Source organism: Homo sapiens, chromosome 2, assembly GCF_000001405.40.
Source record: "Homo sapiens chromosome 2, GRCh38.p14 Primary Assembly".
In the NCBI taxonomy this organism is placed as follows: domain Eukaryota; kingdom Metazoa; phylum Chordata; class Mammalia; order Primates; family Hominidae; genus Homo; species Homo sapiens.
Window position 1 is genome coordinate 201,826,991 of NC_000002.12, and position 24,373 is coordinate 201,851,363.

At 39.8% G+C, this 24,373-nt stretch overlaps 1 protein-coding gene across 13 annotated transcripts in view; it reads left to right on the forward strand.

Annotated features, from left to right (window-relative positions):
* CDK15 (cyclin dependent kinase 15) overlaps positions 1–24,373 on the forward strand; it is an 89,122-nt gene that overhangs the window by 20,562 nt on the left and 44,187 nt on the right. For 11 of the 13 annotated variants that reach the window (NM_139158.2, NM_001366386.2, XM_011511652.2 and 8 more), the window contains 3 exons: positions 6,858–6,981; positions 8,653–8,773; positions 20,391–20,484. In NM_139158.2, coding sequence (NP_631897.1) covers positions 6,858–6,981; positions 8,653–8,773; positions 20,391–20,484 — 339 coding nt within the window. Of the gene's footprint in view, positions 1–1,321; positions 1,507–6,857; positions 6,982–8,652; positions 8,774–14,526; positions 14,666–20,390; positions 20,485–24,373 lie in introns of those variants that run through there. The other 2 variants (XR_922991.3, XM_011511657.3) reach the window with 2 other exon arrangements.

A 24,373-nucleotide genomic window follows, 5' to 3' on the forward strand; every position in this document is an offset into this window, starting at 1 on the left:
GCCATTGCTAAAAGTGATTCTTAGTTAAAATTCTTTCCCACTAGTGCCATACTGCATTTCTAGTTCTGTTGGCCTGAAATACAGAATATATTAGTGAAACAGCATACACAAGTCTGGGGAAATATATTGGGTAGGTGGCTGAGAGCCTCATTTTCTAAGAAATGTGGACCTTAGGCAGGGTATGGTGGCTCACACCTATAATTCCAGCACTTTGGGAGGCCAAGTCAAGAAGATCGCTTGAACCCAAGAGTTCAAGACTAGCATGGGCAACATAGCAAGACCTCATCTCTACAAAAAATTTAAAAATCAGCTGAGCATGGTGGCATACGCCTGTAGTCCCAGCTACCTGGGAGGCTAGGTGGGTGGATCGCTTGAGCACAGGAGTTTGAGGCTAAGGTGAGCCATGATCACACAACTGCACTCCAGCTTGAGTGACAGAGGAAGACCCTGTCCCTAAAAAAGAAAGAAATGTGGATTTTATTCCTTAGACAGTACAGTCATTAGTCATTAAGTTTGAGTTGAGAGAAAATAATATGATCAGAAGAAATTTATATCACTGTGGTCTGTAGGATATATGAAAGGAAATAAGAGACTAGAGTCAGGGATTCCACTTAAGTGTTTGTTTGTTTGTTTTGAGACAGAGTCTCTTTTTGTTACCCAGGCTAGAGTGCAATGGTGCAGTCATGGCTCACCGCAGCCTCAAACTCCCAGCCTCAAATTATCTTCCCAGCTCGGCCTCCCAAAGTGCTGGAATTACAGGTGTGAGCCAAAGGGTTTATTGATGTGGTCTGGCCTAGTGCCTCTCAAACTTCAGTGAGCAGACAAGTGACCGGGAACCTGACTCAACAAGTCTGGGTTTAAGCCTGAGCCTCTGCATTCTAACATGAGTCAAGCTGATGCAGATGGTGCTGGTCAAGAGCCAAGCACTGAGCAGCAAGGATCTAGTTAGCAATTAGTAATCAAGGTTGATATTATGGTAGTGACAATAAGAATGGAGAGGAATGTGAAAATCAGTAACAAAGAAGAGTTCACCTCTTGGTAATGTGAGCATGAGGAGGAAAAGGATGGGGCCAAACATAACTGGTTTTGTGTTTGACTGACGAGGAGAATTGTAGCTCTATTAACAGAAATAGGAGAAGAAGTTGGTTTGGAGAGAAAGAGGAGTCCTGTTTCAGACGTGTTGAGGTCCCAGGTGAGACAGGATCTCCAAAGGGAAATGAGCAGTAGGCAACCTAAAAGGAAATCTGTGCTCAGAAGGGAGCTGTGAGCTCGACGTGTAGATCTGAGGGTCATCAGCACATAGAGTTTAGAAGACAAGGAGTAGGCAACCAAAAGAGCAAATACACAAAGAGAGGAGGACTGATGATGAGACTTTTGCCTTTTAGGATGAGAAGAGGAACAGGAAATGAAGGAATGAAGGGAAGCAGCTTGTAGGAATGTAGAGCATCTGAAAAAAAAATACACACTGTCATGGAAGTCAAGGGAAGAAGAATTTCAAGAAGGAGGGTATGGTGGACAGTATTACAAGCATCAGGAATACAGCTAAAAGTCATACTCTTGATGCATTGACCTTGTGGATTTGTGAGGGACACACTAATAAATAAAGGAATTTATTGTGGGTATATGGAGGCACAAAGGAAGAGGTTATCCAAATCAAAGCAGGTGGGAGTAGGGATGAGTTCTCCAAGGTGGAGGCATCAGTGAATGTGGGAAGGGGCACAGAGCATCCATGCCCATCCCAGGCAAGCCACCCTCCAGAAGCCTCCATGAGAGTTCAGCTATCCAGAAGGTCTCTGTACCCTAATCTTTCTGGGTTTTGCATAGGCTTCATTGTGTAGGCATGATTTATTAAACTATTGGCCACTGGTGATCAACTTAACCTTCAACCCCTCTCCCCTCCCTAATCATGCCTTGGTCTTTCCAGTGACCAGTCCCTATCCTAAGCTACCCAATGGTCTGCCAGCTATCAGTCAACTCTACAAAAAGACATCACTTTGGAGATTCTAAGGATTTTAGGAGTTGGCTGTCAGGAATTTAGTTGAAGATCAAATATATATTTCACAATATCACAGTCGTGCTATTTTATATCAGGCGCCATTAAATGGTTTTAAACAAAGAGGTGATAAATTCAGATTTTCTTTTTATAAAGCTTACACTGATGACAGTGTGGTGAATAGATTGGGATGAGGGCAATACTTTTTTTTTGAAATGTTATATTCCCCTGACCCTACTTTCTCCTTGTTTTCTTCTACCTCTCTCCCCCTACTCACACAGAAAACTTCTCTCCCTCTACTCATTCCCTGAATGCTGGTGTCTGTTAAGGTTCCAGCCTTGACAGTGAGGCTAATCAGAACCACAGTGGTACAGATGTGAGATGATGGTGGGAGAAAGTGGACAGATATGAGACCAATTACTTAGCCGGAACTGACGGGAAAAACAAGAGTCAGCGATATTTTTTTCTGGATCTGAGTATTAAAATGGATGATGGTGCCATTCACTGTGATAGAGAATCAGAAAGAAAAATTTATTTTGGAGAGATACCATGAATTGTGTTTTAGACATGCTAAGTTTGAGGTGATTATGGGATGTACAGGCGAGCTCCAGACTGTGTGGGCCTAAAGTAGAAAGGCAATCTGAGTTGGAGATAAAGATTTTGAAATCATCAGAATACGGTTGTTCATTAGAGCACTGTCAGTGGGTAAGATAGCTAAGGGAGCATGTGTAGAGTGATAACAGAAGATCAAAGACGGAACCCTAAGAATAACAATAAGTTATTATTTATTATTTTATTATGTTTTATTTTTTAATTTTATTTTTATTTATTTATTTATTTTTAGATGGGAGTCTCGCTCTGCTGCCCAGGCTGGAGTGCAGTGGCGCAAACTCAGCTCACTGCAACCTCCGCTTCCTGGGTTCAAGGGAGCCTCCTGCCTCAGCCTCTCAAGTAGCTGGGACTACAGGCACCCACCACCTCACCTGACTAATTTTTGTATTTTTAGTAGAGACGGGGTTTCACCATGTTGGCCAGGCTGGTCTTGAACTTCTGACCTTGAGTGATTCACCTGCCTTGGCCTTCCAAAGTGCTGGGATTACAGGTATGAGCCACTGTGCCTGGCCTATTTTTGTTTTTTATAGAGATGGGGTCTTGCTATGTTGCCCAGGCTGGTCTCGAACTCCTGGACTCAAGCAATCCTCCTGCCTTGGCCTCCCAAAGTTCTGGGATTACACGTGTGAGTCCCTGCGCCTGGCCAGAATATCAATATATTAGATTTTAGTAGAAGTAGAACCTATAAAAAGAACAGCCAGAGGGGCAGAAGAAAAATTAGGAGATTGTGGAACCAAAAGAAGAGAGTGCCTCAGGAAGGAAGGCATGGTCTATGATGCCAAATGCTGCAAAGATAAGGAATAAGAAGTATCCATTGGATTTCATAGGAAAAGTCATGGGAAACCATGGTAAAAAAACATTGTGAATGACACAATCGTTGCAAAAGCATTTTTATAGGGGGATGAATTTTGTATTTCAGAGGACAAACAGTTCCATACAATGGCAAGATCTAGTGTGTGACCACGGGAGTTAGTGTCTGAAGTGGATTGGAGAAGCAGATCATTGGAGCTGAGGTTGGCTAGAGCTGTTCTCATGGGCACTAATGTCATGGAGTCAACAGCTGTGATCCAAGTGCCCACATCTTCAGTGAATGACAGAGAGGGATTGAGAGTTCAGTGAATGACCGCTAAAAGAAGAGTAATGGAAGATGTGGCTGGATGGCATTAAAATCCAAGGGACAGGGGTTTTTACTTAAAAGTAGAGAAGTAATGGTTTTGAAGTGGTAGTGGGGAAAAGGGAGGCAGCTTATGACACTTGTCAGTGGTCAAAGGTATGAGGAAGTTATAGAAAAACTAACATCCACTTGAGAATATTATAGGGAAGCAGTGAGCTCAAGGTCTCATTTAAGGAAAGGAGCCAAAAGGAAATTCACCAGAGGTTAGCTTTTAGGTAGTTTTTAAAGCAGGATTGAAGAATGGAGACTAAACAGTGAAAATGTTTGGGAGAGAGAGGAGCAATAGATATGAAGCTAAACAGAGGAAGCACAGAACAGAATGGAGATGAGTATGTTGGGAGGAAAAGGAATAGTCAGAGGCTTATATTTTGAGTTGTGACCAAGGAAGACAGGGTGGGAATCCTCGTGAGGTTATCTTGTTTCAGATTTCTAGTAGAATGAGTCCCAGGGATTCCAGGGGGGATGGAAGGACTCAGGCTTCCCTATAAGGAGTTGGCTAACGGATCTCATTGGTTTTTGAGTAACTCCTGGCCCAGATGGCACTAGTTCAATGGAATTATTTTGTTCCCCCAAAACTTATTGAGTTGGAAACAGGTCTAACTCCTGGGATCTGGGAAGCCTTTCTGGAAAGAGTCACCCACGATCTGGCTGATGTTGAACTGTGCAGACACCATCATATTTGGTTATGTTAGGATGCAATAATTGGTGAAGCTTCTGTAGTGTTGAATGAAGAATCCAGGTTGGAAGGGATGAAAGGGTGAGTGGGTGATGAGGTTTGTCAGCACAGACTGCAATTTTGAGAAATGTGGTTATAAAATACCATACCTTAATACCGCAGTGCTTTACCACTCACAAATGCCTGTAGACGTATCTGGCAGAGAGGAAAGGGGTTGAATGGCAAGAATGTGGGAAGGGACTGTGGCTAGTTAGTGAAAATAGTCTACACTTGGGACATAAAAGGCATTTCAAGCTGACCTACTAAGAAGCTCTGTCTCTGACTCAGCCAGCTGGCTCTCTCCTTCCCTGTCATGTTTTCATTTTCTGTCTTTTCTCTAGTTTCTCAGGATGGTATAGTGGAGTCAGACAAGTCTGAATTTGAGTCTTGGCTCTGACTATTCCTAGACATGTTTTAAAAGTTACATTGAGCCCTGGTTTTCTCTGTAAACTGAGGATAAGCATGCTATCCCAAAGGTTGTATCCCTCACTGGTCACCAGCTTCCTGTCTTCTATCCACCTGTCTTCCTCTTCCTCTTTCCCTAGTCCTGCATATTGAAAAACATTTTTTTTTTTTTTTGAGATGGAGTCTTGCTCTGCCACCCAGGCTGGAGTGCAGAGGCACGATCCTGGCTCACTGCAACCTCTGCCTTCCAGGTTCAAGCAATTCTCCTGCCTCAGCCTCCCGAGTAGCTGGGATTATAAGCATATACCACCACATCTGGCTAATTTTTGTATTTTTAGTAGAGATGGAGTTTCACCACATTGGCCAGGCTGGTCTCGAACTCCTGACCTCAGGTGATCCGCTCGCTTTGGTCTTCCAAAGTGCTGGGATTATAGGCGTGGGCCACTGCGCCAGTCTGAAAAACGTATTTTTAAGCACATACTATCATATCTTCTTGTCTTTTACCTGGAATTTAAGCTGGTTGTTTGTATTACCTTTTCCATGGACATTTATATTTATAACCAATCAGAAGGTTTAAATGTCAGTGTAGGAATTTTGTGCTATGGAAGCTTCGTGGCTTGGTGAATGGTAAAATGAATAATGTGTGTATATTTGAAGCATCAGAAAGAGAAAATGCTGGGAAGATTCATAGAACCAGTTAACATTTGAACTAGGAGTCATAAGAAATTTTTAAAATACTTAAATGGTTTATGAACCTGATGTGGTAGCTACATGAAACCTGCATAGCTGCAGGTATGCTATGGTAGGTAAACTCTCCATGCTCCTGCTTCCATTGGACCATTTGGCTCCAATGTCTCCAGGTCTTTGTTAGATCAATACTGGTCCTAGCATCTCTGAAAGTCCTAGCTTTCTAAGATGCTGTTGAAAAAGAGGATTAATCCACATAACTCTGCATCTGCCATTTTGCCCATGTCCCAGGAATGCTGGGCCTAGCCCTTCCTTTCTGAACTGCCAGAACACGTTCTCAGTTGACATACGTCTTTGTAAATACTGATGTTGGTGTTTGAATTCTCAATTGCCAATGGCACTGGAAAATAGCAAAAGATACTTGGAATACTAAGCATTCTTTTTTTCCCGTAAGTTTCTGTAGTGATGGGAACCTAGTTAATGGCTTTGGTTTCTGTGCCTCATAACCACATGAAACATTTTTAATTTGGGGCTCAGAATGTGTTTTTCCCTTTTATTTCTCCACCACTACCATTTACCCTTTCTCCCTTCTTCCTCCTACAATTTGTTCCTTATTCTTTTTTGATTTTTTTTGAGGGGGGGGGTCTAACTTATTTTGGTCTCTCTTCCCTTTTCATCTGTACTGTGTATTTCCCTTGTTTTCAACTTTGAATTTAAGACTTTAAAAATAGCTTTAAAAAGATAAAGATTTCTTTATTTTCTAATACCATCTAAAGATATATTTTTTAGTGTGGTCTCCTTGTGTTGTGTTTTTAAAAGGGTTTCATATTGGAGAGCCTGGAAAACTTAAGCAGTTGTAAACTTTAGAATATCATTTCCAGGTCAACTTTGATCTTATATGCCAAGTTCATCGGTGGGGAAAAAAATTAAATCTTTCACATCTAAATCAATAACTAGTGTTCCAAAGGAAACTTCAAAGTTTCACTTTAGATTTTTAAAGAAGGGTAATTCCTTCAGTATCAAAGAAATGAGATGTCAGGAAAAGCCAGAATCCCTTTGTTTAGGACACAGTCTAGTTACTTGACTTTTCTTGTCCTTTTTCTTCCCCCTCTGAATGTAAAAATCTTCTTCTTCTTCTTCTTTTTTTTTTTTTTTTTGGTCTCTCAAGAGACACTTTTACTATATTCTTTGAGATGACTGTTTTTGATTTAGAGGCGAAATCAGCACGTGGTGGCTCAAATCTCCTTATGGATAGTGTTTCTTCCTTCCAGCTTTTCATGTTTCAACTTTTGCGGGGCCTGGCGTACATCCACCACCAACACGTTCTTCACAGGGACCTGAAACCTCAGAACTTACTCATCAGTCACCTGGGAGAGCTCAAACTGGCTGATTTTGGTAAGTCGCCCCTCGGGTCTCATTCTGGGCTGTGAACAATGATGCTTTTGTGTGCACTTGTTTAAGCGTTGACTGGGCCTGGCCTTTGAAAACTGGAGGCCCAAGAACATGATGCTTTGTGAGGATATCAAACTACCACAAAGGAAGTGTGAGGCACGAAACAGGGAGGGATTGGTAGCTTTCTAGGATTCCACCAAGTCCCAGTTTAGTCAGATGGCCAAAAGCTGGGCACCCTTGCTGCCCCACTGCCAGTTTTGATATAGAGACATTGGTAGAGTAAACTGTACTTAGTAAGTTTTCCTAAATCTAAGTGAATATACAAATTATATTGGAATAGATTGAGATTATCCCAAGATGATAAAGAGGTTAACCCCAGATTGTAGCATGGACTCCTGTCAGGATGGAGACTCCAGGACACTTGTTCCTGCTCTCCTACCTTCTTTATATAAGTGTGAGATGCAAAGTTTTATTCCCATTAAAGTGAAGCAGATTTCCTCTAAGTATCACTGTATCCTTCCATTTTAGCACTTATCGCAGTTTATAATTATATTCACACACATAAATACATACATGCATACATACAAATATATATACATGTGTGAGCACACCCCCACACACAAATATATATAGATTTGCGTGATGATTTTGTCTCAACTGGACTGTAAGCATAATGAGGGCAGCCTGGGTTTGTTTTTGCTTATCATTTTATCCTTAGTGCCTGGTACCATAGTAGGTGCTTAATAAGTACTTGTTGAAAAACTGGCTCTATGTGAGCTAAGGAACCACTCTTCTCTGTTTGGCAGATGCCAAATGGTGATACTATCACTGCAGTATTTATTCTGAGATGGCAGCTTTTATCCTGACATGTAAGCATTTAACAGATATTTGTTTATCAATTCTCCACAATAGCAAACTCATCTATTGAAGTTTTTCCCAACAATAGATCATGCAATTCTGTGAGATAAACAGCTGACTGACAGAAAGACTCATTTTGCAGAACAGTACTTAGAAATTCATCTAAGGTCCTACCAAACTAATTAATTTGGATGAGCAGTCCCTACCGTTTATCTACTAAACTGGGCTTTCCTGGAGTGCCAAAACGGAAGGTGGCCATGTTAGTCATGAACAGCTCAGTTTCTGTTACAGAGACCCAAAATTACAGAGGTATAACATGCTAGAAACTTAACTTTCTTTCGCATCACAGTCCTGACCTAAGCAGGCAGAGCATGTATGGTGGCCCCATGCTATCTTGGCCCAGGCTGCTTCTGTCACGTGGCTCCTCCATCCCCAATTGTATGTTTCAAGATGGCTGCCACTTCCTGCTCATCACAGCCCAGAGGAGGGAGAAAAGGGAAGCAGAACCCTTAACCCCTCCACTAAGGCATAATCTGGAAGTTCACACATCACCTCTGTTCATATCATATAGGCAAGAACTTAGTCACCTGACCACACCCAGCTGCCAAGAAGGCCACATCTAGCTGCAAAGCAGGCCAAAATTTGAGAAATTCACTTGATGAAGTGATAGACAAGAGTCAAGATAGTGATTAGTTCTACTAAAAGCACCTAAAGTTTGTGTGTTATTTTTTCTAATGGTGTTTACCCTGGTCCAGTGCATCATGGTGCAAGCCAAGGTCCAGAACGATGGGTTTTATGCTTTTCCCTTTTGGACAGGTCTTGCCCGGGCCAAGTCCATTCCCAGCCAGACATACTCTTCAGAAGTCGTGACCCTCTGGTACCGGCCCCCTGATGCTTTGCTGGGAGCCACTGAATATTCCTCTGAGCTGGACATATGGTAAGAGTGGTGCCGAGAAAATGTGAGTCATCCTACTCACGAGGGTTGCTTTATCATCTACATTATATTTTAATAATAATTCTAAAAATGGCAATCACGTATATATTTTTATATATATTTATATTTATATATTTTATATATATTTATATAGTTATATATTTATATTTTATATATTTATATATTTATATATATTTGTATATATTTATATATTTATATATTTTTATATATTTATATATATTTATATTTTTATATTTTTATATATTTATATATATTTTATATATATTTATATATATATTATATATATTTATATTTATATATATTTATATATTTATATATATTTATATATTTATATATATTATATATTTTATATATTTATATATTATATATATTTTATATATTTATATATTTATATATTATATATATTTTTTTATATATATATATATGTATTTTTTTTTTTTGAGATGGAGTCTCACTCTATTGCCCAGGCTGGAGTGCAGTGGCACGATCTCAGCTCACTGCAACCTCCACCTCCCAGATTCAAGCAATTCTCCTGCCTCAGCCTTCTGAGTAGCTCTACTAAAAAAATACTAATATTTGTAGAAGATTCTTGCAATTATTCTATAACCTTTTACTGTTGAACTGAGACCCACAGAGTTCCTGCCCAAGGCATCTTCTGAATCTGACACTCTTTTTATGTTATTTTATTTTTTGAGATTGGGGTCTTGCTATATTGTCCAGGCTGGTCTTGAGCTCCCAGGCTGAAGCAGTTCTCCCACTTCAGCCTCTTGAGTAGCTGGGACTATAGGGCTGCACCACTGCACCCTGGCAATCTCATGCTCTTTCTTTCACGCCTTTCCTCCTAGCTCCTCTCTTTAATCCTTTGCCTTGTCTTCTCCTTGACACCTTATCCACAGAGAAACAAACATATATCCCCAAACCACAGACACACAGATGTGTGTGCACGTGCATGTGCATGCACACACATCTGCATGAACATACTCACACATGTCCAAACGTAGTTCAGAGCCTGGTTTAGGAAAAAAAAAAAAAAGCATAAAGACCAAGCTTCAAGACACCTGATTTTCATGCCAGTTCGATTTCTAATCAATTAACTCTGGATTCTGTTATCTTGAAAAAGTCATGTATCCTCTCTGTGTCTATGTTTCTCCATTTTTAAAAATGAAGGTAATAAACTCTCTCCATCTGAGTTAAATGGAATTGTAGTACAAATATAAGAACCAAATAGGTGGCTGGGCTTGCCGTCTCATGCCTGTAATCACAGCGCTTTGGGAGACCAAGGCTGGAGGATCGATTGCTTCAGCCCAGTTGTTTAAGATCAGCCTGGGTAGCACAGTGAGATGCTGTCTCTACATTTTTCAAAAAAATTAGTCAGGCATGATGGCTAATTAAACACTTCAGGAGGCTGAAGTAGGAGGATCTCCTGAGCCTGAGAAATTGAGGCTGCAGTGAGTTTTGATGGTACCCCTGCAATCCAGCCTGGGTTACAGAGCGAGACCCCGTCTGAAAGAAAGAAAGAAACAGAGAGAGAGAGAGAGAGAGAAAGAAAGGAAAAGAGAAGGAGAGGGAGAGGGGGAGAAAGGGAGAGGGGGAGAGAGGGGGAGAAGGGGAGAGGGGGGAGAGGTGGGGAGGGAGGGAGGGAGGGAGGAAGGGAAGGAAGGAAGGAAAGGAAGGAAGGAAGGAAGGAAGGAAGGAAGGAAGGAAGGAAGGAAGGAAGGAAGGAAGGAAGGAAAGAAGGAAAGAATCCAGATAGGTGCTATCAAGTAAAGCCACAGAGTTGGGGAGGCTCTAAGGTTAATGGGTTACAATAGTGAGCATGGGCTGTCAGACATGCATCATCCTAGAACGGCAGTGTTATTTTCTCTGGATCATGTTCCTGGAGACTTCCCAGTCATTTGGGGGCCACTGTTAGATATGTGATGACTTTACAGACGTAGACAACTCCCCAAAGGTAAGGAAATATATGAATCTCTTTCAGTACCTTGGAAGAAAGGGTTTATATAAAAACACAAAGCCCCATTTTCAAAAATCCATAATTGATTTTAAAAAATTAAATGGTGTCCTAAAAGGCTAAACTAAGCTTTTAGATCTCCCAAAGAATTAAGAAAGGTTGCAGACATTTTTCTCCAGTGTAGAGTCATTGATTTCTGATACCCAGTACAATTTATAGAAATATCATCTGCTAGTCAAAACCCTCCTGAAACTGTCAGCTCACACCGCTCAGCACTGTCACTTCAAAGGACTCCGGCAGGCTCTGGCTTACTCAGCTCTTAATGATGTCTTCCTGATTATGTTTCACAGAGTGAAACTTCTACCCGTCAATTTTAAACTAATTTTATTATGGAATAGTTAAAACATTCAAGAGTATATATAACATATATGTAGATCAGTGATTCTCAACCAGGGAGCAATTTTGCTCTGCAGGGGACATTTGGCAATGTCTGGAAACATTTTTTGTTTTCACAGCTGGGGGTGGGGTGGTGGGGGGTATCACTGGCATCTAGTGGGTAGAGACCAGGGATACTGCTAAACATCCTACAGTGCAGAGGACAGCCCCTGCAACAAAGATTTTTCCAACCCAAAACATCTGTAGTATCAAGATTAAGAAAGCCGATGTAGGTTAAGAAGCTTAATTTACTTTTAGAGACAGGGTCTCCCTTGGTTGCCCAGGCTGGAGTACAGAGGTGAGATTGTCTCACTGCAGCCTCCAACTCCTGGGTTTAAGTGATCCTCCTGCCTCAGCCTCCTGAGTAGCTGGGAATACAGGTGTGTGCCACCACACCTGGCTAATTAAAAAAAAAAAAGTGTAGAGACAGAGTCTCACTTTGTTGCCCATGCTGGTCTCAAACTCCTGGCTTCAAGAGATCCTCCTGCCTTGGCCTTCCCAACTGCTGGGATTACAGGTATAAGCCACCGTGCCCAACCAATTAAGAAGCTTAATAACGTGAACTTCATAACCTGCTACCCAGTGTAACAACTAGAACATAATCCGTACTGTCCTATCAACTGTGTCCCTTTCCCATCAACCTGCCCCTCCACTAGAAGGCCTTCTACCAAAATTTTTTTTCCTTTTTTCATCAGTATTCTCATATCTTTTTAAAAATAATCCTTTTACATTTTAGAGGTATTCTTAAAAATATTTTTTTGTTTTACTTGATTTTAAGGGTTGTTTTTTTTTGAGACGGAGTCTCGCTCGTCGCCCAGGCTGGAGTGCAGTGGTGCGATCTCAGCTCACTGCAAGCTCCGCCTCCCAGGTTCACGCCATTCTCCTGCCTCAGCCATGATGTTATATTGCTTCTAGTCTTCTGTGACTTGGCTTTGTTTCATTCAATATGTTACATGTTTCTAAGATTCATCCATGTTGATCTGTTTAGCTATACTTTATTTTCTGTTAGTGAATATTTCATTTTTTTTAATGTCTATAGCTTTGCAATAATACTTGATACCTTGTAGGCCAAGTCTCCCAGCCTATTCATCTTCTTCATGAGGATACATCAGATAAACCTAGTTTAAGGGACATTCTACAGAGTAACTGACCTGTACTTATTGGAAGTGTCAAGATTTTAAAAGATAAAGACTGAGGAACTGTTCCAGATTAAAGGAGACTCCAGAAACCTGCCAACTAAATGTAATGCATGGTCCTAGATTGGATCTTGGGGGAGATGGTGCTCTAAAGAATACTGTAGGGACTATAGGTGAAATTTCAGTAGGGACTGTGGATTAGATAGGGGTATTGGATGAATGTTAAATTTCCTGATTTTGATAATTGCACTGTTGTTATGTAAGAGGATACTTTGGTTCTCAGAAAATACCAACATAATTATTTAGGGATGAAGAGTCATGATATCTACAATTTACTCCCTAATGTTTCAGAAAAGATATAGACAGACAGACAGACAGACAGACAGATAGATAGATAAAATAACGAAACAAAAGTGACAAAATATTGGCGATGGATGAACCTGTTTGGAGGATATAAGAGAGTTCTTTATACTGCTGCAACTTTTCTATAAGTTTGAAATTATTTCAAGATTAAAAGTTGCCTCCAAATTGCGAAATCCTTGCTGTTTCATCAAAGTTAGTGTAAGACAGCACTAGCCTAATATGTGATCAGTGTTTGTAATTTCTTCATGTGTGTTTGAGAAGAATGTGTGTGTCCACCCAATTGTTGAGTGCTGCTGGGGTTTTTTTTTTGTTTTTGTTTTTGTTTTTGTTTTTTTTGAGACAGAGTCTCACTCTGTCTCCATGCCTGGAATGCAGTGACTCAACCTCGGCTCACTGCAACCTCCACCTCCTGGGTTCAAGCGATTCTCCTGCCTTAACCTCCCAAGTAGCTGGGATTACAGGAGCACACCATCACACCCGGCTAATTTTTGTAGTTTTAGTAGAGACGGAGTTTCGCCATGTTGGCCAGGCTGGTTTCGAACTTTAGATGTCAGGTGATCAGCCTCCCAAAGTGTTGGGATTACAGGCATGAGCCACCGCGCCTGGCCAAGTACCCATTTTTACATATGTTCAAAAATTCAAGGTTGCTAATTATATTATCCAAATCTTCTTTATATTATTTTTGTCTTTTTAACCTACCAATGAAAGGTGTGTTGAACTCATTCACTATATTGTTGATTTGTCAGAATTCTATCCACTTTTGCTTTATATGCTTTGAAGCTATTTTCACTAAGGGCAAATAAATTTAAGACTGCTCATTATTCCTTTGTACACTTTAGTTACCACTTTCAGAATAATTTTCATTTCTCCTGAAATACATCTTTTAGAGTGTTTTGTTTTGTTTGTGTGTGTGTAGGCCTGCTGGTGGCAAATTCTTCGTTTTTGTTTTCAGAAGATAAACCCTAATTATTGAAAGGTGGTTTTGTTGGGGATGTGATTCTAGACTGACAGTTATTTTCTCTCAGAACTTTGAAGATGTCATTCCCCTTCTTTGTCTTCCATTGTTGCTGTCGAGGAGTTTGCTTTTAGCCTTATTATCTTCCTTTTGCAGGTGATCTCATTTTCTCTGGATGTTTTAAAGACTTTTTTCTTTGCCTTTATGATTATGCAGTTTTCTCTAGGAGGTGTCCAGTGTGGATTTCTTTTTACTTACCCTGTTTGGTATATCTTGTGTTTCTTCCATTTGTGAATTCATGTCTTTCATCAGCCATTTTCTTTTTGAATATTGACTCTATTCTATTCTCTCTCTGTAGAGCTCCAATGAAAGACTATTAGACCACATTCTTCTGTTATCCATTTCTCTTCTCTCCTTCATATTTTCCATTTCCTTAACTTTCTGTGATGCATTCTGGGTAATTTCTTCAGCTCATCTACCAGTTCTTTAAGTCTCTCTTAAACTATGTATTAGGTTGGTGCAAAAGTAATTGCAGTTTTTGCCATTAAAAGTAATGGCAAAACCATAGTTGCTTTTGCATCAACCTATATCTCTTACCTTTTTACCACATATACAAAAATGTATGTTATTCTATGAATAAGTGTTTCATGAATTTAACCATGAGCAACAATGACACAATATAAAAATGCAGTTATAAGTCAAAATTATTGTTATTACTCTTATTCATTCCATTTGATTGTTGTTTTCCTGGTAAAACTAAAAATGTAATGTAGAAATAGAACAATATGCATCTTCCATTGAGCTCACTATATTTGTTTACCCTCAAAGTAATTGCTAGACCTTGGGTATTTACACTGAGATCCCTCTCCTCCCATTTTTTTCTTTTTCTTTTCAGAGTGATAAGAGGGGAAGTGAGAAGGGAGAAGATTTCCAGTTGACAAAGAATGAAAAAGAAAGAATAATCCTATTCTGCTAGGCCATGCAACCCCATAGGGTCCAAAGTGAATGCCCTTGTAGGAGGTAGATGACACTGGGTCAGCATTAGTGCATTTGTCTTAAAGAAACCAATTATAACCCGTAGTGCAGAGCCTCTCCTTCACAATGAGGCCTGGTGGCAGCAGTGTCAGTAGGGGGCCAGAGCAAATAAACAGGGGCTCTAGTTAATTATGGAAAACTTGCAACTAGGACATATTGGTTATTCCCAAAGCTCCCAACCAACATTCTCTCATCTTCTGACGTCTTTTCTTCTCTCTCTTTCTGCTACCTTTTCAGACCTTAAAAGATTCCATTAGTGACTTTAGTGAGAAAAATGCAATATTTTAGGATTATTAAATGGTGTGGTTTTTAGTTTTTTGTATTGTGTTAAAATATACATAAAATTTACCATTCATCACGATTTTCAGGTGTACAATTCAGTGGCATTCAGTACATTCACATTGTTGTGTAACCGTCACCACTGTCCATCTCCAGAACTTTTCATCATCCCAAACTCAAACTCTGCACGTATTAAATGATAATTTCCCATTACCCCCTCTCCTCAGTCCCTGGTAACCACGATTCTGCTTTTTATCTTGATGAATTTGACTATTCTTGGTACCTCATATAAAAGTGGAATCCTACAATACCTCTTCTGTGTCTAGCTTGTTTTGCTTGGCATAACATTTTCAAGGTTCATCCATGTCGTAGTACACTGAGTTTTCCAGAAGCATTTATTTCAGTACACAAGGTCATCTATTCAGTATCAGTTTCAGGCAGCTGCTGGTGTTAGGACTAGAGAAAGTTGTCTCTGCCTAACAGATCATTTACTGTCACATTTCTCGCTGCAAACTTCCAAATATAAAAAGGGTGGTCTAGAGAAAAGCAAGTGAGAATGTCATGTCACTGCCATATATTACGTTATTCTGAATTAACTTCAACAGTAAGAAATGAAATACTGATTCATTTCTCCCAACAACATTTTGATATTCTCCTTGCACCTCCAAAAAGCCTAAAACTCCCGAGATGGATTTTTTTTCTCCAGGGACTGCCTAAGGAATCTGAGGAATCTTTCCCCCTCTTATGGAAGAATTTGTTCATGCTCAGAATAGAGAAAAAGTAGGAGGAGAACCAGAAAGAGGAGAAAACATCTAAGCAGTTTCCTCTAACTTGACTGAAGAACCACATTTGGAACAATAAAATGACCCAGCACATCTCTCCCTTCTGGAAGGGTTTAATGTTTGATGTCACAGGGTCTTTTCTCCCCTGCATATGAATTTCCCCTTCGTCTACACGGGCTGCCCCACGGGTATCTCCACACAGCAGAAATCCTCAGAGAAGCTTAAAGATATGTAGGGTAAGAGGAGCCCCAGGAATGAAGATTTAAGGACAAAACAGAAAAATAAAAGGAAATAGAAGCTGGTTCCCTATCTGGACTTGAATGTTCAGAATATTTAAAATGTTTGCTTTAAGAATAGTCTGTGGTGGGCAAAATAGATGATAGCCACATGACTTGTATTCCTAAGGGTAAGAAGCAAATTAAAAAAAAGAAACAGTTCTGAACAGAAATGAAAAAATAAGATAAATTGCATAGTTCTTTTTTTTTATTAGATGGAGTCTGGCTCTGTCGCCCAGGCTGGAGTGCAGTGGTGCGATGTCGGCTCACTGCAACCTCCAACTCCCCGGTTCAAGTGATTCTCCTGCCTCAACCTCCTGAGTAGCTGGGATTACAGGAACACACCACCATACCCGGCTAATTTTTGGATTTTTGGTAGAGACGGGGTTTCACCATGTTGGCCAGGCTGGTCTCGAACTGACCTCATGATCTGCCCGCCTCGGCCTCCCAAAGTGCTAGGATTACAATGCTTACACCTAGAACAGATCTGTCACCTTTCAAACTTACAGTGTGGGCTTGTTTTGTTATCAATGCATTGATATTTACAGTACCTATGGATAGTCCATGTACTGAAATAAAATTGATTTAGGAATTTTGTCTTATAAGTGTTCTAAAGACTTGCACAAGTGCACACATACACACACTATATACATAGTGTGTGTGCATGTGCGTGTATATAAATGAGTAACCTTAGACTTAGATTTGTTAGATGAGGAAGGTTTCAACCTTCCCCAAAATGCAAATGGAGAATTTCAACCATATAAACCAAATATTGGCATTTTATCTCTGGAACACAAACATCTTGTGTTACTTTATGGTACTTACGTAATGGCCTGAATGCTCTAGTTTTTGCCAATATATTTTACATAATTTTGTATACAAGTTTAGTGGTATAGAAGATAAAGGACACTAAGGAATTGTGTAACAAAATGACTTCTTGGTTCCCTACAGCTGTTAAGTATGAAAACACACCATGAAAAGGCAACAAGCTTCTTCCAGGCAATGGAAGGCTTTTTGGGGGAGAAAAGAAAGTGAATTACAGGTTTAAACCTAGGAATGTCATTTTTTGAAACTTGTTTAAAATATTTTCAATCCTTCTAGTGGTTTGTGAGCTCCTGGGGTTTCTGGAAGGTGTTTGGGAACTGGATAGAGGGTTAGTTCATGCCTTTAAAAGCCAATACATTTCCATTTCTCTTTTATAACCAAGTAATAACCCAATTATGCATGTATTTTATATACACAGACACGTATTTATTTTTACTCCAAAACAAAATGGTCTGAGGCCTTTCAAGAAAGTGCATGTGGCGAAGTCATGGGGGGCAGGGTGGAGACCATTTGGTGGTGCCCACTAACTAGGTTTCTCAGTTGGCTTATCTCTTAGTGGACCATTGCTAGCAACCAGGGTGTTTTTAAGCATTTGACAGTTTTCCATCACTTTTATTTGCCTTCATATATTGTTTCATTTACACCCTTAGTATCTCTTGTTTTAAAGACAGGAGACAAAAAGAACATGGATATTTAAATACAAGTTAATGAGGAACTTTAAAATAATAATAATTCTACAAATTTACCTCAAGATACTTTACCAAATTCATAAGTTACATTTATCTGATCAAAATTCTTGTGTCACATATCAAGATGTTTCTTATACAGCAGAAATCAGTAGAAAAGAAAAAATAGGCCAAGCGTGTGGTGGCTCACACCTGTAATCCCAGTACTTTGGGAGGCCAAGGCAGGAGGATTGCTTGAGGTTTGGAGTTCAAGACCAGCCTGGGCAACACAGTGAGATCCCATCTCTATTAAAAAAATTAGAAAAGAAAAAGAATAAAATGGGGCTGTTATATCCAAATTGGCTTTTTAAAAATCAGCAATAAGGCCGGGTGTGGTGGCTCACACCTGTAATTCCAGCACTTTGGAAGGCTGAGGCAGGCGGATCAATTGAGGCCAAGAGTTTGAGACCAGCCTGGCGAACATGGTGAAACCCTGTCTGTACTAAAAATACAAAAATTAGCCAGGCATGCTGGTGCATGCCTGTAATCCCAGTTACTCAGGAGGCTGAGGCAGGAGAATCACTTGAACCTGGGAGGTGGAGGTTGCAGTGAGCTGAGATTGCACCACTGCACTCCAGCCTGAGTGACAGAGTGAGACCCTGTCTCAAAAAAAAAGAAAAAAAAAAATTGGCAATAAAAACAACCTGTTGCTTGCTGGAGGAAAAACCTGCTTGCAAAGCTCAGTCTGATATCATTTTTTAAACAAAACTCTAAGAACAAGCCAGTCAGTTAAGCTAAAACCAAATATTTGATTATGAAAAGGGTTTTTGTATATTTTTACAGGATAAGATACAAATAAATTTCAGTCTTTCTTTTAATATGTATTCTGTTCCCAAACCAGACACAAAGCAATTTTTAAACTTGATCGTCAAGAAATCTGTTTTCTCCTACACAATCAATGAAAAGTAATCTAAACAGTGTTTGTCAGGCCAGGCACAGTGGCTCACATCTGTAGTCCTAGCATTTTGGGAGGCCTAGGCAGGCAGATTGCTTGAGCCCAGAATTTCAAGACCAGCCTGGACAACATGGCGAAACCCCATCTGTATTAAAAAAAAAAAAAAAAAAAGACCATATGTCTGCAGTCAGATGGAAAAAGTAAAAATATGTAATAAACACATATGAATAATATTAAGGACCATATTTTAAAATAAACTTGATAATAAATTTTTAATAATATTATCTACGATAAAATGTTTTACTTAAATTTCGTTCTTTATCATGCCACACAAAAATGGCAAAATGATTAAGAGAGTTTGCAAAATTATGTGGTATAGTGAAAGAGGTTTGCGGTTAAAAAAAAAAAAGAGAGAGAGAGAGAGAGAGAAGTATGGGGCCATGGGGATAGTCTCTGTAATCAGTCACCTGAACCACTTTTAATACTCAAAAGACTTATGAGAATAAAAATCTGATTTTTGCTAAGATTTATTAGCAAAATAAATCTTACTCCTTCCTGTCCCTCTCTAATTATCCTTCAGCTTGACCATGTATGAAAGAAAATTTACATTTCACTGTTTAATCTATTTAAAGATGAACATTTCCCATTAAATCAGGATGCACCTTATAATCAGTAGCATCTAACAATATAAGTCAGCCAGGCTGCAGTTGTGACTGTAGTTAGAATTGCACATGTGTGAACATCAAATGAGCCAGCATCAAAACGTGCAGAATGGCCAGGCACAGTGGCTCACACCTGTGATCCCAGCACTTTGGGAAGCTGAGGTGGGTGGATCACTTGAGGTCAGGAATTCAAGACCAGCCTGGCCAAGATGGTGAAATCACGTTTCTACTAAAAATACAAAAATTAGCCAGGCATGGTGGCAGGTGCCTGTAATCCCAGCTACTTGGTAGGCTAAGTCAGGAGAATCGCTTGAACCTGGGAGGCGGAGGTTGCAGTGAGCTGAGATCGCACCACTGCACTCCAGCCTGGGCGACAGACCAAGATTCCACCAAAAAAAAAAAAAAAATTGCAGAATTGGTGTCAGCGACTTGGAAGAAAATTCTGCAAAGAAAAGTCCTTTTTTTTTCTTTTTTTTTTTAAACTCCTAGGAACCAAATGGTTGTGGAGAAGGAGTAAATCAGACATGTTTAGCAACATTCTTTAAGCAGGAGTCAAAAGTAAGCTAACACTACATAACTGCAAGGCCAGCTTAGGAGCCCAGGACCAATGACTCTCTGTTGTTTTATGGATTATTTTAAGAAATGCTGCATCATCAAATTCTTAATATAGAGGATGATACATGGGTAAGTGTAGACATCAAAGAGTCTGAGTCAAATGCTGAATGTGAAAAAGTTTTAGGAATACCGAAACCAATTTATTTTGCTTAATGTTTCTCTTTTTCGTGTACAAGTATGCTATATGAGAAAATAATCTCTATTTAATTAAATTTATAACAGCCCTTTCAATAAGTATAAAATGAACATTCTGATCATGTCATAGTTTAACTTGCATTTTTTTGTCTTAATGGCAAAAAACCAATGACGCTTCTTACAATGATAGCATCTTAGACTCAATGAAAAGTGGGGATGAAATGAAATTTGGGGATACAGTACTTTCCCCTCTTCTCCTAAAACAGATAATGAGCTTGAATGATCTACAATGTTTGCTAACTCTACTGCTTTCCTAACTGCTGCTCGTGGTGTTCCATTTTAATAAAAAGCTGTGGGCTGTTCTTATTTTGTTTGACATAGGGACTTTTTTTTTGGCCCAAGACTTTTAATATCATGTGGTCCGTATTTAACTCTCCCTAAAATATTTCTTGGGAAGAGAAATTCTAGTAGTTCAGTTTCGCTTGTATGATTTCTTTCAAAGTGTCAATTTACTCTTATTTCATTTGCTAGGGGTGCAGGCTGCATCTTTATTGAAATGTTCCAGGGTCAACCTTTGTTTCCTGGGGTTTCCAACATCCTTGAACAGCTGGAGAAAATCTGGGAGGTAGGAGAATAATTCTTCTAAAGAAAATGAAATATCTGCATTTTAAGTTTTGAACCAAATTTGCCTTACAGACAAATGAAGCAGTCCATCTGCTCTGAGATATTAAGCCCTATATTAAGATTGTAGAAACTGTAGCATTTGCCACAGCTATAAGCACCCTGGGAATGTGTGGTCAGGAAACTCCCTGTTGCCCCATAGCAGCCCATGAATCCAGCTCACTGAATGATGTTCAGGTCTCCTGCTCCCTGTCATTAGTATTGTCTTAACCTCCCAGGGCAATTTCTGCCATTACTACTCAGACATGTCCCTACCTTGCTACCTCCAGTTCTAATGCTACCATATATTTGGCCCTGGATCTTTGTCAACTGAAAATAAGACATAGAATTTTTAGCTGGGTGCAGTGGCTCATGCCTGTAATCCCAGCACTTTGGGATTGCTTTGAGCCCAGGAGTTCGAGACCAGCCTGGGCAACATGGCGAAACCCCATCCCTACAAAAACAAAAATGAGTGGGCTGTGTGGCGCACACCTTAGTCCCAGCTATTCAGGAGGCTGAGATGGGAGGATCACTTGAGCCCAGGGAAGTCGAGGCTGCTGTTAGCTGTGACCACGCCACTGCACTCCAGGCTGGGGAACAAAAAAAAGACACAAAATTTTCATAGAACCCTGATAGAACAGAGGCTTTCCCTCTTAGTGTGAAAGAAGTGTACCATTTATCATGCTTATCCACAGCCAAATTCCTAAAGTGTCAAGGTGCCTTTGTGTGTGTATGCAGCTCCATTTCTTAATTCATTATTTATCCCTACCGCAGTTGCCTATGATATGCTTTGTTTTTATGGCCCTTATATAGTATTACAGTCATACTATAGTCATCTGTATATTTCCTTTTTTGGTCATATTTTTATTGTGGTAAAATATACAAAACAAAATTTACCGTCTTAACCCTCCTTAAGTGTACAGCTTGTCAGCATTAAATACATTCATATAGTTGCACCACCATCACCGCCATCCATTTCCAGAACTTCTCTATCATCCCTAAGGGAAGCTCTGGACCCACTGAACAATAACTGCCCATCTTCCCTCCCCACACTCCCCTAGCCCCTAGTAACCTCTAATCTACTTTCTGTCTCCATGAATTGGCCTATTCTAGGTACCTCATATAAGTGGAATCATACAAATTTGTCTTTCCGTATCTGGCTTATGTCACTTAGCATATTTTCAAGGTTCATCCATGTTGTAGAATGTGTCAAGGGGCTTTAAATCGGCGGGGTGCAGGGGGGTACTTTATTACTTGCTATCCTGGATCCTGCTGCTTGTCTTCTGGCTAAAATAAAATGTACTTTGTGAAATTAAGACATTTTATAGAGATTAATTACTGACATTAAATTTTCTTCTAGAAACATGGGGGCTATTATGAAGGAACATGGGAAAAACTGGGAAGCATTCACAACTGAAAAAAAAAAATCCAAGCCAAAAGACTTTTTCTAAAAACTTTCTTGCAAGACAGAGCAATGCTATCTTCACATTATGTTATTGGGTGCTATAACATCATCTAAGCTGGAGACAGCCTACTGTCATAGCTTTGGAGTCCAAAGACCTGGGTTTGAATTCTAACCATTTTCTAGCTAAATGAACATGGGCAAGTTATGTAGTCCCTCTGAACTTTCGTTTCCTTGTCTGTAAAATGGCAACAATGATAATAAGGACTTTCTAATTCTTTATTGAGAATTCCATAAAAACAAATGCATAACAAGCTCCATGCACCATAAATGCTCAATAGATGCTTGCTTTCTTCCTGTCCCATACAAATTGTTGTACAGATGTTTCAATAACCTAACTGCTAGCAAGTATTACCTGAAATTTAACCCGATTGTTCTCTTCTTTCACTTAGCAGTATTATTTCTTGTCCACAATAGAGGAAGCACAATTGCAGTTCTGATGCTGCAATGACCTTTTATACATTTGAAGAGTTTTTCCTGGTCATTTAATCAGGAAACAACACTTACTCACCATATATGAGGCGAGTAACTCTACAAGACTCTACAAGGTCTTGTAAGAAGCTATAAGCCAAGGGGGAAAAAAAAAAGAAGAATAAGAAAAACACATGATCTGTATTTTCAAGTGTTGTTCAGTCTAGGTAGGGCGATGGGTGAAGTATACGTAAATATATGTGAAACAAACATAAACTATGTATATATGTAAAAGGATGTATGTATAGATAGTTAATATAAATTGTAATACTGAAATAAGATGTGCTATTAGGATACTTGAAGAGTAGTTTATTTGAAAAGAATATAAGTATATCCTTGTGTGCCATTAGTATTTGAAGAGTTGTATATAAACTGATTTTTTTTCTTTTTCCTTTTTTTTGAGAAGGAGTCTTGCTCTGTCACCCAGGCTGGAGTGCAGTGGTGCCATCTCGGCTCACTGCAAGCTCCACCTCCCCAGTTCAAGCGATTCTCCTGCCTCAGCCTCCTGACTAGCTGGAATTACAGGTGCCCGCCACCACACCTGGCTAACTTTTGTATTTTTAGTAGAGACGGGGTTTCACCATGTTGGTCAGGCTGGTCTCAAACTCCTGACCTCGTGATCCACCCGCTTTGGCCTCCCAAAGTGGTGGGATTACAGGCGTGAGCCACCGCGCCCAGCCTCATAAACTGATTTTTAAAATACAATATACAGTTAGGCATAGTTGTGTGTGCCTATAGTCCCTACTGCTTGGGAGGCTGAGGCAGGAGGATCCTTTGATCCCAGGAGTTTGGGCAACATAGTGAGACCCCCATCTCTAATAATAATAAATATAAATTTCAAATAACATTTTAAAATATGACATACTATCTTTGAATGACCACACAATTTAAAAAGCAATCATTTTACGGTTCTTTAGTGTTCAGTTAGCACAGCACTTAGAAATCATAGAATAAAGTGAGCAAGATGCTTCTCAAAGCCTGATCACTCTTTAGGACTCACAATGGGCTAGGTACTATGCTGGAAAGAGAAAAAATAATAATTTTCTAACCTGCTTGAGACATAGTGGTATAAATGATAACACAGCTGCTGAACGTGATGACTTTCTCACTTTGTCCGCAGAGCAAGAAACTATAGATGCAGTAACAAAACTGCATTCAATGAACATGGGACTGTAGATAACAAACTAACTTCATTTCTTTGGGTACATGCCCTGTATTGGGATTGCTGGATCATATGGTAGTTCCATTTTTAATATTTTGAGGAACCTCCATACCATCTTCCATAATGGCTGTGCTATTTGCATGCCCACCATCAGTGTGCAAATGCTCCCTTTCCTCCACATTCTTGCCAACACCTCTTTCATCTTTTTGATAATAGTTATGAGGCAATATCTCACCATGGTCCTAGACTTCATTTGTCTGATGACTAATGATATTGAGCATTTTTTCATATATCTCTTGGCCATTTGTAGGTCATCTTTTGAGAAATGTGTATTGAGGTTCTTAGTCCATTCCTGCTACCATAACAAAATCCCTTAGAGTGGGCATTTTATAAAGAACAGAAATTGGCCGGGCGCAGTGGCTCATGCCTGTAATCCCAGCACTTTGGGAGGCCAAGGTGGGTGGATCACCTGAGGTCAGGAGTTCAAGACCAGCCTGGTCAATATGGTGAAACCCCATCTCTACTAAAAATACAAAAACTAGCCGAACGTGGTGGTGTGCACCTGTAGTCCCAGCTACTTGGGAGGCTGAGACAGGAGAATTGCTTGAACCCAGGAGGAGGAGGTTGCAGTGAGACGAGATCGTGCCACTGCACTCCAGCCTGAGCAACAGAGTGAGACTTCATCTCAAAAAAAAAAAAAAAAAAAAAAAAAAGAACAGAAATTTATTTCTCACTGTTCTAGAGGCTGGAAAGTCCAAG